Below are 14,169 nucleotides of genomic sequence, written 5' to 3'. Positions count from 1 at the left end.
TTTTTAAAAGGTTAACGAATAGGGAGTTAACCTTCAAAGTAAGTTCAAGGAGTCTTCTGTAATTGTGTGGTTTGTGTTTAACTGGAATACAGATCAAACTACAATATTGCCAAAGAAAAAATAATGTATTTTTCCAAGTCACATACAAATACCTTTTAAGGTATGTTTTGGGATCCTTTAAATTTAATTTTAATATGTTTCTGCTCAAAACAAGAGTGTCCATCAAGTAAAGGAAGAAGAACCTGGGTGTTATATAAAAACTGCTGCTTCTAATCACCATGCCTGTTGATCTACAGCTAGAGATCTACCTTCCCCTCAAAAGAAAACCACTATTTATAAAACAGCCAGCATATCAAATATACAGAAAGTATTATGACTATAGTCTATCTTAAAGTTCTTAAGCTTTTTACCTGTGACCAAGAGGAAAAGAAAATGTTGCTTTTTATAATGTGGTATTCTGTGAAGAGCAGTTTTTGCTTACATAACTTCACTTCAAAGGATTTGCTAGGACAATCAGATTGGTTCAAGCTGAAACAGCTCAATTACTTGTGAAAACTGCCATAGGCTTTAACAGCCTACAGGGCTTTAAAAATCAATGATGCTATAGTATTTGATGCTATATAGTATTTGCATCCTTAAGAAGACAGCCAGAAATCAAACTAAACAAATGTGAAAAAAAAAAATCTATTCTTGAACACTATTTCAAAGTATGTCTATTTTTTATTTACACATCTATTTAGAAGACATAAATAGACTCTACCAACTTTGTCAATATTACCAAACGGCTAATGAGCATAGGCCAAGACTGTTAGGATATATAGTAGATATTGTGAAAAAACTCAGATAAAGGTATTCACACATGAAGCTATTTATACATCTCATTTTTAACTTTAAATTAATTGGGAGTCTTAAGAAATATAAATACCAAAATGTATAAAAGTAACCTTATTTTGGTTTGTGGGCTCTTGTATTATGTTGCTCTGTTAGACAATTTTATTGTCTGCTTTTATTGTGCCTGTTAGACTTTTGTATTAGCCCTGGAGGGTAAGATTATATTACAGTGTGTACCTATGATTATGGTGAAATCATAAAACCCTAAGCACATATGTAAACCAAAGGAATTTTCTTTTCCTATGGAAAACTCAGAGGAATTGAAACTGCCTTTATTGTAACAGTGAAAGGGATCTGACCTACCCAACTCCATCTTGCTTCTAACCTCCAAACTGTCCTTGTTCATTCCTGGGTGCAGGCCAAACTAATTTTGGGAGTGAATTTAGTGTAACGCTAAAAAAAAAAAAAATAACAGCCCTTTCTGAAACAAACCACCTTCTTGCCTAGGGACTAGTCTGCCTTTGTAGGACTAACAAATTAGCCACAAGATGAAAAATTATGGTTTAGGAGTCATGCAGCCAGAGGCCACAAGATTCTGAACCTCTCCAAAATGCTCCTGGGGATTATATCACTGTTGTGATGTAAAACCTAAGATCATTGCTGCAGACATTTTGCAGACCCTACATTTTGATGCAACAGCTGATACCACTCAGACGGGTAATCTGGCTCAACCAGTTCTGTGATCCCACCCAGGAACAGAAGACTGCAAGAAAAACCCACTTCAATACCCTATGATTTCATCTCTGACTAATCAGCACTCCCCATTTCTTGACCCCCCCCCCACCAAATTATCCTTAAAAACCTTGATCCCTGAATTTTTAGGGAGACTGATTTGAGTAATAATGAAACTCTGATCTCCTGTACAGCCAGCTTTATGTGACTTAAAGTCTTTATCTATTGCAATTCCCCTGTCTTCATAAATCAGCTATGTCTGGGCAGTGGGCAAGGAGAACCTGCTGTGTGGTTACAGAATGATATAACGCAGGAACAGAACACCAAACACTGCATGTTCTCACTCATGAGTGGGAGGTGAACAATGAGAACACATGGACATAGGGAGGGGAACATCACACACCAGGGCCTGTTGGGGGTTGGGGGTTAGGGGAGGGATAGCATTAGGAGAAATGCCTAACGTAGATGACGGGTTAATGGGTGCAGCAAACCACCATGGCACGTGTATACCTATGTAACAAACCTGCATGTTCTGCACATGTATCCCAGAACTCAAAGTATAAAATAATAATAATAATAATAATAAAAGAGATTTATGAGGAAGACCCTTCACCTCTCTTTTAACAGTGGGTCCTTATCCAGGGCTGGATCAGAGAGGTGGGACAAAGGCTTATTTGCCACAATTCTTGTGAAGAGTCTCCCTGGTATAAACCAGACACCCATGGATAATTCAGCAGAAAGAAACAAATGTGGCTCTCTTTTAAAAATTATTCATTCATTCATTCTTCCAGTTATTCAACAAAATTTTTTTAAACAAAATGACAGGAAAGTTGCTAGGCACTGTAAATAGTTGTCTCTGAACTACTTTGGATATAGAGACAAGTAATAAAAATTAAAACAATATGGTAAGAAGTGATGATGGTTTGCCCATGTTATCAAACTTCAAGGAATACAAAGAGAGAAAGAATGCCCAGACAGTTCAAGACAGATAGAGCTGAAACATTCCTGAAGCCAACCAATACAGTAGTCAGGTGATATTTTATAGAGTATATTGAAAGTAAGTAAGTTATTGTCATAATTCAAGTTATAAAGGCTCAGCACTTAAAGACTGAAGTTTGAGAAACTGCCTAAGTGAAGAATAAAATCTCAGAGTAGAAGCCCACATGTAAAAAGTAGAAATCTCACAAAACATATTGGAAAAATTAACAAATATATAGAGGAGTTTCTAGAAAGAACAAGTATTATTTATTTCACCATGTTAAGGAAGTTCTGAGAAGCTCAATATAAACTCATAAACTCTTTAGAGTTTTTCATAAATACGCGTGTGTGTGTGTGTGTTTGTGTGTGCATGTGTATTATAGTAAAGGATATAGTTCTAACTGTGGATGTGAATGCATGTAGCTCCCACCCCTCCTTCCTGAACACACACACCAGATTCTCTCTTTACAAACTCACCCATTCCCAAAGTGATGAAAAACAGAAAATCAAAAATTCCAGAGGATAGCAAAGAAGTGTATGATTTTGATTTTAAATTAAAATGACCACTGCTGTTTTAGCCTAAATTAACAATGGCTGAAATTGTTGTCATAAAAATAATAGATTTCTGACTTCCTGAATGCAACCTGTTTTATCTGTTTTTGGATGATCTGAAATCTTCCCAGGGCTCAAATTGTTTTAGACATCCAGTACTAGTTTCTAGCCTGCGTCCATTCTTCCTTTTTCAGGGAGAAGCAATTCATTGTTTTGTGTTTCAGGTTTGGGGTTTCCTCCCTCTGCCCACACTATTGCTGGTGGATTCTACATTGCTTAGCTGCACTGACTGTCTCTGAGACACACGTAAACATAAACGCCCTTTAGGAAGTTCTTAGATATCTTCAACACATTCCCCAAAAGTCCTTGTTCTGCCTCCCAAACTACTTTTCTACATTTAAATAAATCCATTTTATAAAACAATAACCCCAAATATTATTTATTGTAATGTAAAAACTGCACTTTCCAGGATATACAAACAGTCCCTATTGTGCAACATAAAGTCATTAGTTCCAGATAGCAGGCATTTTTTCCCATGCTTTACATTCTAAAGTTATTCATTTCATTATAATTTGAGAAATGGTTCCATCATTTATCTGCCTTTTTCATTCAGTGGAAAATTATACAAAAGACTAGCACATTACTTTTCACAAATATTCATCATGGATGAATATAATACATGTGATTACAATTATTCTCAATTACTCATATTCCTGAATGTACATTGCATGCAATCACACATAACACACTTTTTTCCTCCATTACTCCTTTATTCATATTTGAACTTATATATTTCTACAAGTAATGATTTGAATTCAAAAAGTATCATCAAAAGAAAATGAAAAGGTTATATAAATGTCACTGCCTTGCTTTGAATATTACATGCTCTTGCTGAATTCAACTCTGAACATATGGACTAGATTTCTACTGTAAAGGGAAATACATCTATGCATGAAATGGTGTTCCTCGTAATAGCTTTTTAACATAGAAGAGGCTTGAAAACGTGTGAAAAAGTCCTTTTCCTAATCACACACTTAAACATACAATGCCCCCATTCTTTATATAGCGATGCTGGATCTTAATAAGAAACTTCATACTGCTCCTTCTGCTCCTTCTCTTCTAGGTACTTATATATAAAAAAGTTTTTGCGGGCGCGGTGGATCAAGCCTGTAATCACAGCACTCCGCGAGGCTGAGGCGGATCACTGGAAGTCAGGAGTTCGAGACCAGCCTGGCCAACATGGTGAAACTCCGTTTCTAGTAAAAATACAAAAATTAGCCGGCCATGGTGGCGGGTGCCTGTAATCCCAGCTACTGGAGAGGCTGAGGCAGGAGAATCCCTTGAACCGGGAGGCAGAGTTTGCAGTGAGCCGAGATCACGCCACTGCACTCCAGCCTGGGCAACAGAGTTAGACTCCGACTCAAAAAAAAAAAAAAGTTTGAATTTCCTTATGAGGACTAAACTTGGACCTTTTCCTCTCTTGTCCAAGTTCCTATCATGCCGTATTGACCATACAATCTCATTAGATGGGTTTATTTAACCCTGTGTAATGTGGGTTAGTCGCTGATATAGGAGTTAAGATGAAATTACTTAGGCAGTGAGGGTACAGGAGTCCTCAGTAAGGTTTTCCTTTTTAATGAAAAGCAGCCCTAAAATCATTTTCTAACAAAGAGCAGTTTGTAAAATTGAACTGCAGATATAGATGCTAGCAGCTGGGCCAATCATGTTCCAAACAGCGACTCCATCTTCCCTTTTCTCTTTGGCAGCCATATGTACAGTAAGGAGCAGACAAGATGGCGCCAGTGGAGTGGAAAGTCTATTTGCATAATAAGATTAGGGTGGGGTGGCCAGCCTTCCCGCACTCTATGTAAAGGGCGCACCTGATCCAACCATTCTGTGGGCCCCAGTAAATCAGCCCCCTCAAGCCTGCCTATAAAATCGCGCGCATCCGACTCTGGTGGTCTTTCCCTTTCGGAAGCCCTCTCTCTCACCAGAGAGAGGGCTGTCCTCCTTTTTCTTTCTTCTGCCTATTTAACCTCCACTCCTAAACTCCTCGTGTGTGTCCCTGTCCTAAATTTTCTTGGCATGAGAGGACAAACCCCTAGTATTTACTCCAGACAACGTAGCCGCTTCATTGCCAATCTCATTCTGGCATAAAAACATATGACAGATAAAGAAGGAACCCAAAGTATATTTCTTTGCCATATTTCGAAATGGCCCTGCAAAGACATCTTTTGTAGGGGAAAAATCTGCATCTAGACCTTTCCCCTTCCAGTCCCTCCCAAACCTGAGAAGATTAACTGAGAGTTTAGCACCTTTTAAAGGTTTGAATAGGAAACACTTGCCAACTATTGCCTCTAAGGTGGCCACCAATGATACTTCATCTGTATAATAAGAACCTTGGTTTCCACAACCTCCTATCTTAACCCAGTCACTCTTTCCTATTGAGTCTAGGTATTTAGACAATAACTTGACCAAACCAATATATCCCTCATATGAGTTCACTGATGTGTCTTATGTCTCTCTAAAATGTGTAACATCAACCTATAACCCAACCATCTTGGGCACATGTTCTCTGGAACTCTCCAGACTGTGCCTTGGGCCAGGTTCACTCAAATTTGGTTCAGAGTAAAGCTCTAAATGTTTTACAGAGTTTGACTCTTTTCATTGACACTTAAATATACCTTCAAAAATCAGAGCATGCCAATTAAAATCAAATAGCCTTTTCTAAGCCAGCTAATAGATTGTATTACAGAAAGAGGATGTAGGCCTGGATTTTTGTTGTTGTCCTGATGGGTTACATAATAATGACAATAATGACACTAATGACCATAAGGCCTATATAAAAACAGTCCTTTTGTATCCTTATTTTTCTCCCTTTTTAAATGCTTCAGTTTTTGGCTTTTTTTGTTTTAAGTAATGTAGCTATTGCAGAAATCTAGAAAATTATACAGAATGTAATCATTAATAATCCCACCACCCAGTAATAGGATTTTCTCATTTTTTTCCTTTTTAATGACTTTCAATTCTTAAAATAAGTAATGTATGAATATTAGAAAATATATAAAAATATAGGGAAAAGAATTACCCATAATCCTACCACCCACTGATAGCCTATGTTTACTTCTATTTCAATATATATACTTCTCTGTAACTAAAGTATGAAAACGTTTTACTCATATTATTTTTCACACATATTTATTGATAATTTACTATGTTCTTCAGAAATATAAATTTAAATATCTGCATAATTTTCCATCTTGTTTCTGTATGAAGTCATTTAATCTTCCCCTACTAAAATATTTTTAAAAATATTCTTAATTCGAGTTAATAATAAATATAGATCTCTCTGTATGGCTTGCTCCAATTTTCCAGCATAACACTTGGGTTGAGAAAAAAAAAAGATAATATTTAGGTGTTTGAAATACAGTTCTTATTTTACATCAAAATTTACTTCATAGTACAACTTTCTCATATGCCGTTTTCTGCAATATTATGGTAATAAACAATATTTTAACTAGAAGAATAACAGCAATAATGAAACACATATTCAGTATGTTTCAATTTTATTTTCTCCTGTAGAGAAAGAAAAATGTCAGAATTGTGTACCTGGGGATATGATGTAGAAGAAATCTTTAAATTCATCCATCCAAACTTCTGCCAGTCTCCTGTTGTTCTTGTTGATGACATGACCAGTGCCACCAGGAAAAGTGTATGGAGTTGCCTTCCGAAAAACATGACCAACATGGGAGCAAGTAACAATCTCCAAGGAGCCTCCACATTGCCAAATCTGGGAAAAGGAACAATCATTGTAAATAATGCAATAATATTGTATGAGATGAAGCAACTGAAGCTTAGGCCAAATCTTCGTATTTTACATGTTTCAAGCAAATATCTGATGCAAAATTTAGAACTGGTACACTATACTTACTTTTGGCAAAGGATGCGAATTTGGAAGATCTTGATATATTTAAATACTTGTAGCATTGGAATTATGGAGGTAAGACACATTTAATGTATGTCTCTTTATTAGAATACCTAATTTCTAGTTTCTAGTAGTTAACCTAATTGCTAGTTAGTAGATTTGGTACCCAAATCTGCTATTAATGAATCTGTACATGTTACATGCCATTGTCAAAAACTAAATTTGATTTGGAGAAAAATCAGTTACTCTCCATCCATCTGGAATTATAAACGATCATTCATTCTAAGCTGGTCATATACCTTGCATCTTAAGCCTTTGGATTTATTATTAAGATGTGTTAGGGCACCTTTATAGGTGCTCAAGGTCTACATATCCTTCAAAACTCATCTTCACCAAGATCATTTCTTCTAGAAAGCTCTGGGGGGAGATTTAGTAATGTGTACCTTTTTTATTTTAAGCATGCTTTTAGGACTGATTACAATTATTCACTTCCTTATCACTCCTTTAAAACTATAAATTCTTAGAAAATATACCATATATTTCTTAGTATCCTAGAATTCACTGTGTATTTGAGGCTAAGTATTATGCAAACTAGCCATAAAATACTGATTTCTATGAAATTATGTTGTATAATCATAGCTTATACTATTTCTATATATGTGCATACACACAATACTATACATACAATTATATATATATATAACATATATGCTACAGGTTTTCTTGTCACAATAAATAGAAGTCATAGTCGCTGTTTTACAAAATTTGGAAAACATGGTTTTATACTGTAACTAACATTGTTTTCATTTGATACATCTGATTTAAGTAGAGTTACTTTTTTTGAAAGAAAAATATCTTTCTGGCCATTTCTGGCCAGGTGCGGTGGCTCACACTTGTAATCCCACCACTTTGGGAGGCCGAGGTGGGCAGATCATGTGAGGTCAGGAGTTTGAGACCAGCCTGACCAACATGGCAAAAACCCGTCTCTACTAAAAATACAAAAATCAGCCGGATGTGGTGACACACGCCTGTAGTCCCAGCTACTCAGGAGGCTGAGGCAAGAGAATCGCTTGAACTCGGGAGGCAGAGGTTGCAGTGAGCCGAGATCACGCGCCATTGCACTCCAGCCTGGGTGACAAAAGCGAAACTCTATCTCAAAAAAAAAAAAAAAAAAGAGAGAAAGAAAGAAAAAAAAACTATCTTTTCACCTGACCCTTCAGATAACATTTAGCTTAGAAAAGAGCTGCTATTGGACTTGGGTAGCAGTAAGAGACAACCACTTTTTTTATCAGAAGATAAAAGATGATAAATAATAAGTCATAATAATCAATAATGGTTTGTGCATTTCATGTAAATCTATTTTTTTATTTTATAATTTTTAAACAGTGTAATGCTAGCAGAAAAATAGGTCCAACAAACACTGAAATACAGATGAATATACGAGAAGAATAGAAACCTTCCTCCCCCTTAAAAGACAGGGAAGCTCATTCTTAAATAATCAACGTATTTCAGGCCGGGCGCGGTGGCTCACGCCTGTAATCCCAGCACTTTGGGAGGCCGAGGTGGGCGGATCACGAGGTCAAGAGATCGAGACCATCCTGGCTAACACAGTGAAACCCTGTCTCTACTAAAAATAGAAAAAAAAAAAAAAATTAGCCAGGCATGGTGGCGGGCGCCTGTAGTCCCAGCTACTCTGGAGGCTGAGGCAGGAGAATGGCGTGAACCCGGGAGGCGGAGGTTGCACTGAGCTGAGATCACGCCACTGCACTCCAGCCTGGGCGAGAGTGAGACTCTGTCTCAAAAAAAAAAAAAAAAAAAGTATTTCATTGATTGATAACTTCCTCATCTTCCTAGCTTCATGAAATATATGAACCTTCTTGTGATTACGCACATTTTTACATTCTTCCTGTTAAAATGGAGGCAGTTAATCGCTATCCTATCACAGATAAATCAATATTCTTTTTCAGTCCTCCATTATATCCCTTGTATCTTTCTTAAGGATGTCACTAATTTAGTCATTTCCCTTGCTTTTCTCCTGAAATATTAACGTTTCTCATTACTAGATTATGCCTATCTTTGCATAATACCTTCTAAAGTCGTCTATCTTTCAAATAGCTTCAAAAATTTATAAAACACACAAAAAATCAATTGTTTAATATCTATATCCTATCTGTTTCCTTTTACCATTAAATAATATAAAATATATATTTTATCTACATTTTATATTTTATATATAATATATTTGTATCTGTAATATATATTTTATATTTTTGTTACGGTAGAATTATGAATTATGTAATTTTAGCATATTAGCGATACATGTTCTTAGGAAACAACAGTGAAAGCAGAAAGACAATTAAGATTCTAATGAATATATAATGTATATATAAATAATATATAATGTATATATAATGTATATATAAATAATATATAATTTATATATAATGTATATATAAATAATATATAATTTATATATAAATAATATAATATATAAATAAATATATAATTTATATATAGTATATATATTTATATATACTATATATAAATAATATAATTTATATATAAATTGTATATACAATGTATATATAAATTGTATATACAATGTATATATAAATTGTATATACAATGTATATATAAATTATATATACAATGTATATATAAATTAATATATACATTGTATATATAAATTATATATACAATTTATATATAAATTATATATACAATTTATATATAAATATATACAATTTTATATATAATATATAATTTATATATGTATATATAATTTATATATAATTTATATATAATTTATATATGTATATATAAATTATATATAATTTATATATATTTCATATATATTTATATATAAATTATATATTTATATAAATTATATTTATGTAATTTAGTGATATTATATATGTATTTAGTGATATATGTTCTTTCCCTTCCTCAATTTACATTCGTTTTTGACCTACTGTAAAAAATACTGTTTATTTATGTAGCTCCTCACAATTCCTCTGGTCAAAATAACAAATATCCCTTGATGCATTTATTATCTTGTTGACTGTTTTCTTGGAGTCTCCTGATTTTCCTCTTCTTATATGTTTATCCATTTTTACTTTAAATTTATATTTAAATGTTGGCCTTCATCTCTCTTTATACATTTCATGGGTGGTCTCACTTGTTACTATTAATTTACATAGGACCTGCATGCCAACAATCTCAAATTTACATCTCAGCCCAGACCTCTTTTCTGGGATCCAGACTTGTGTATCCATACATCTACTTGATACCTCCTCTTGTATGTCCCAGAAACATACAAACAGAAATGTTCAAACTTGGTTTGTTGATTCACCCCTGTTCTGTCAGCCAGGTCTTATTTTTTTCTATTTTTTTTTTCCAATTGATAGTATATGGTGCCAACATTCACCCAGATAGTCAAACCAATAAATACACAAGTAAAGTAAAATAAATAACTAAATAAAACTAGAACATATCATTGACTTATTTCTTTCATCATCTGTATGCATATGCAATCTATTATTAAATCCTAGTAGTGCTATCTGTAAAATAATTCTCCATATAGCCATCTGTTTTCGTTTGCTTGCGCTGCCATAACAAAATCCTGGGAGGCTTAAACAACAGAAATCTCTTTCTCACAGTTCTATAGGCTGGGAAGTTAAAGATCAAGGTGCCAGCATGGTCAGTTCCTCATAAGGGTGTTCTTGCTGACTTGTAGATGACTATCTTTTTGCTGTGTCCTTACATCATGGAGAGAGCAGTCTGGTATTTCTTTCTCTTCTTATAAGGATATCAGTCCTATCAAATTAGGACCCCACCTTTCTGACCTCATTTATCTTCAATTCCCTCCTCACAGGCCATATGTGAGGCAGTAATTGAAGGCTTCAATACATGAATTTTGTGGGAGCCCTCTCTCTGTTTCCGCGGCCACCATCCTTGTCCTAATCACCAGCATCTCTTATCTGTCAATTCAACAGACTCTTAATTGTCTTGCTGCTTTCAGTGTTGCTTTCTGCAATTTGTTTTGTAGTGAGAAATCAAAGTGGTCTTTTAAAAATTTAATTACTTAATTTTACTTCCCTGCTTAAATCCTTGAATGGTTTCTCATTGCACTGTGAATATAAACAAAATCCTTTAGCAGGGCCTCTAAGACCATACCTTATTCTCCCTCTCTGTCAAAAAACACTGGTGATACTGGCCTTCTGCCACATTCTAGAATAACATACCACATACCTTTTCACACACCAAATTCTCAAATCTCCTTCCCCTGTACCCGGAATACAATTCTGTCAGCACTTCACCTTGGCTACCTCTTTGCCATACTTGTCATCTCAGCTGAAACATCACTTCATCAGAGAGGTCTTCTCCAATTGCTGACGGGTTGATGGATGCAGCAAACCACCATGGCAGGTGTATACCTATGTAACAAACCTACACATTCTGCACATGTATCCCAGACTTAAAGTATAATAACAAAAAAAAAGAATCTTTAAAAAAATAAAATAAAAATAAAGTAGCCCCACCCCAGTTATTTTCTCTAAGAGAACCCTGTTTAGTTCCCTCTTTGCTTACCACAATCTGTAACTTGTTTATTTGTATTCCTCTCTCTCTCTCAGACATGATTTAGTAGAGTACTCAACATTCATTCTGTGACCAGGAAAGGTGCTCCAATTTCAGAAGAAATGACACGACTTGTTATACATGAGACGGAATTTAAGGTCTTCTCTTTATTGTGAAAAATGCAAGGTGTTTGGTAAAGAGGCTTTTCCCTCCCTTCCTATGGAATACTCATAAATGAAGAGCTTCTTTCCTCCTTCACCCAAACAAGGGAGCTAACTGAATGGAGAGACTGGTATTTCTCTCCCAGCTGGACAGTTGTACAGCAAATTAGCACGTTATCCTGGTGCTGCCTTTAGAGCAGAGAAGAATGTGTTCAGAGAGCTACATGACCCTAGTAAAAGAGAGACCACTCCCAATCTAGTGAATTCTGAAGCTATGGTTGGGGTTTATTTTACAGGTTGTTCCAGCAGAATTGATAGGTCCAGTGATGCAGTGAACCTTGGAGGAAGTGGTCTTTAATAGCATCTGGACAAGACCTCAGTCATTTCTGGGCTCTATAGAGCATGGAACATAGAAAAGAAAGAATGAGCTATGGGACTAACAATATGGCAGATCAGCAAGGAGGCACACTTTGAGAAAGGCAGTTGGGTGAAATAGAGACTAAGATCTTCCTCTCCAAAAGGCCCTTGGAAAAGAGAAGAAATAAAGGCTGAAGCTGAGCACAGTTTTAAGAAAACAGTAAAACTATGTATAGAAGATAATCACCTGGGTAAGGCCACCAATAGCAAGTGGAACCATATGAAGCCAACAACGGCAAGCCATCATCAAACTTATCAGAAAAGACCTGCCGTTTTTCTAGCCTTCCCATTTCACCCTACCCATTGGGGAAGGCAACCCACAAACCCCTGCCCTCTCTCATTCCAAGCTCCTCTTTCATCATGGGCCTAGGGAGAGAAGAGAATGTGAGCTATGTGTGCCTACAAAAATCAAGGCTTTACAGTGGACATTAGAGCTTTCTCTAATGGCTGGGCATGGTTCCTCACACCTGTAATCCTAGCACTTTGGGAGGCCCAGGTGGGCCAATCATCTCAGGTCAGGAGTTTGAAACCAGCCTAGCCAACATGGTAAAACCTCGTCTCTACTAAAAATAAAAAAATAAAAAATTAGCTGGGCACATGGTGGTGGGTGCCTATAATCCCAGCTGCTTGGGAGGCTGAGGGAGGAGAATCACTTGAACCCGGGAGGCAGAGGTTGCATTGAGCCAAGGTCGCGCCACTGCACTCCAGCCTGGGTGACAGAGAGAGACTCCATCGCAAAAATAAATAAATAAATAAATAAATAAATAAAATAAAAAGAATTTTCAATAACGAGAAGTGATTACAAAGCTATAAAATCAGTGCTAAATAACATTAAGGACTGAAAATGAGTATTCTTCAGAGCATAAAAGCAATAATTGGGGGGAAAAAAGTCATTTTAAATCTGTACTCCACTAAATTCAGACTAAGCCCTGTTTAATATAAACTACTGACTGACAGTTGTCCTCATGACTCTCCATTTGCCTTTCTATAAATATGGATTAGCACTATGGTTGTGTGAGTTAGATGCACAGGGCTCTTTATTTCCACTCTGTTGCTTCTTGGTCCTCCCATAGGTTGTGGGTTTATTGGTTCTCTGCCAATATCAGGGCTCTGAACATAATACTCCAAAATATGTCAAGTTGGCAACTGAAAAAACTGCCGTAGCCAGGAGGCCATTCTGACCTTCTCCCACCTTTCTACCCTGAAGTATAGCCATAAAGAAATTCTCTGACTTACTTTTCCTAAAAGAAGATCATAAGACTCTAGTTTCACAGGGGTTCTGCCCTATATTTGCAGGCCAAGAAGAATCTGAACAAACAGACCTTGCTAAGTGCCCTGCCTCCTTTAATTCCATTAGATCACACTTAATTTTTGTCCAATCATACTTCTATATGACTGTCCATTCTTCTTGGATCCTAAGGATAAAAGTGTCATTGAGTTATGAAACAAATGCTTAAGGATGAAAATTCTTGGATCTTTAGGTCTTCATTTCTGAAGGCTCTCATTTGACATAAAACTTGGGTTAAATAAATTTGTCATGATTTCCTTTTGTGAATCTGTCTGTCTTTTTCATAAGAGTGTTGGTCATAAACCTTGTGACAGGCAGGGAAAAGATATTGTTTTGTTTTCCCCTACATCCTGAACGTGCACACAGAACAGGAAATGAAATCTGGTTTGAAATCTTTTAAAGTAGGGTTCCAATGGTCTCACTCCTTTCCATCTTAATTGGCAAAGATAAGGATATACGAAAGTTCAGATTTTATGTTATTCTCCTGACATGTAATGACATTTTTATGTACATATACAGGTATAATGCTGCAAGCATTGATATTTGTAAGACAAGGAAAACCTGTCTGACTTTGATTCTCACAGATAAAGGCATTTCTTAAATATATTGAGGATAGATACAAAGAAGTGGTGGCAACTGTTCCATAACTCAATGGATACTGGCTCATGTTTTGCCTGTATGCCATAGGCTACTGACTCTTGAAATAA

The 14,169-nt window shown here is 35.8% G+C and overlaps 1 protein-coding gene across 20 annotated transcripts in view; it reads right to left on the bottom strand.

Annotated features, from left to right (window-relative positions):
- GALNT13 (polypeptide N-acetylgalactosaminyltransferase 13) overlaps positions 1-14,169 on the bottom strand; it is a 1,388,282-nt gene that overhangs the window by 148,283 nt on the left and 1,225,830 nt on the right. For all 20 annotated transcript variants that reach the window (XR_007069045.1, NM_001422882.1, NM_001422883.1 and 17 more), the window contains one exon: positions 6,703-6,883. Coding sequence is in view for 19 of the 20 variants with exons in the window: in NM_001422882.1 (NP_001409811.1) it covers positions 6,703-6,883 (181 nt within the window). In the remaining variant the exon portion in view is untranslated. The remainder of the gene's footprint in view (positions 1-6,702; positions 6,884-14,169) is intronic.

The sequence above is a fragment of the Homo sapiens genome, chromosome 2, assembly GCF_000001405.40.
Source record: "Homo sapiens chromosome 2, GRCh38.p14 Primary Assembly".
Taxonomy (NCBI): Eukaryota; Metazoa; Chordata; class Mammalia; order Primates; family Hominidae; genus Homo; species Homo sapiens.
This window is presented reverse-complemented; position numbering and strand designations above follow the sequence as displayed.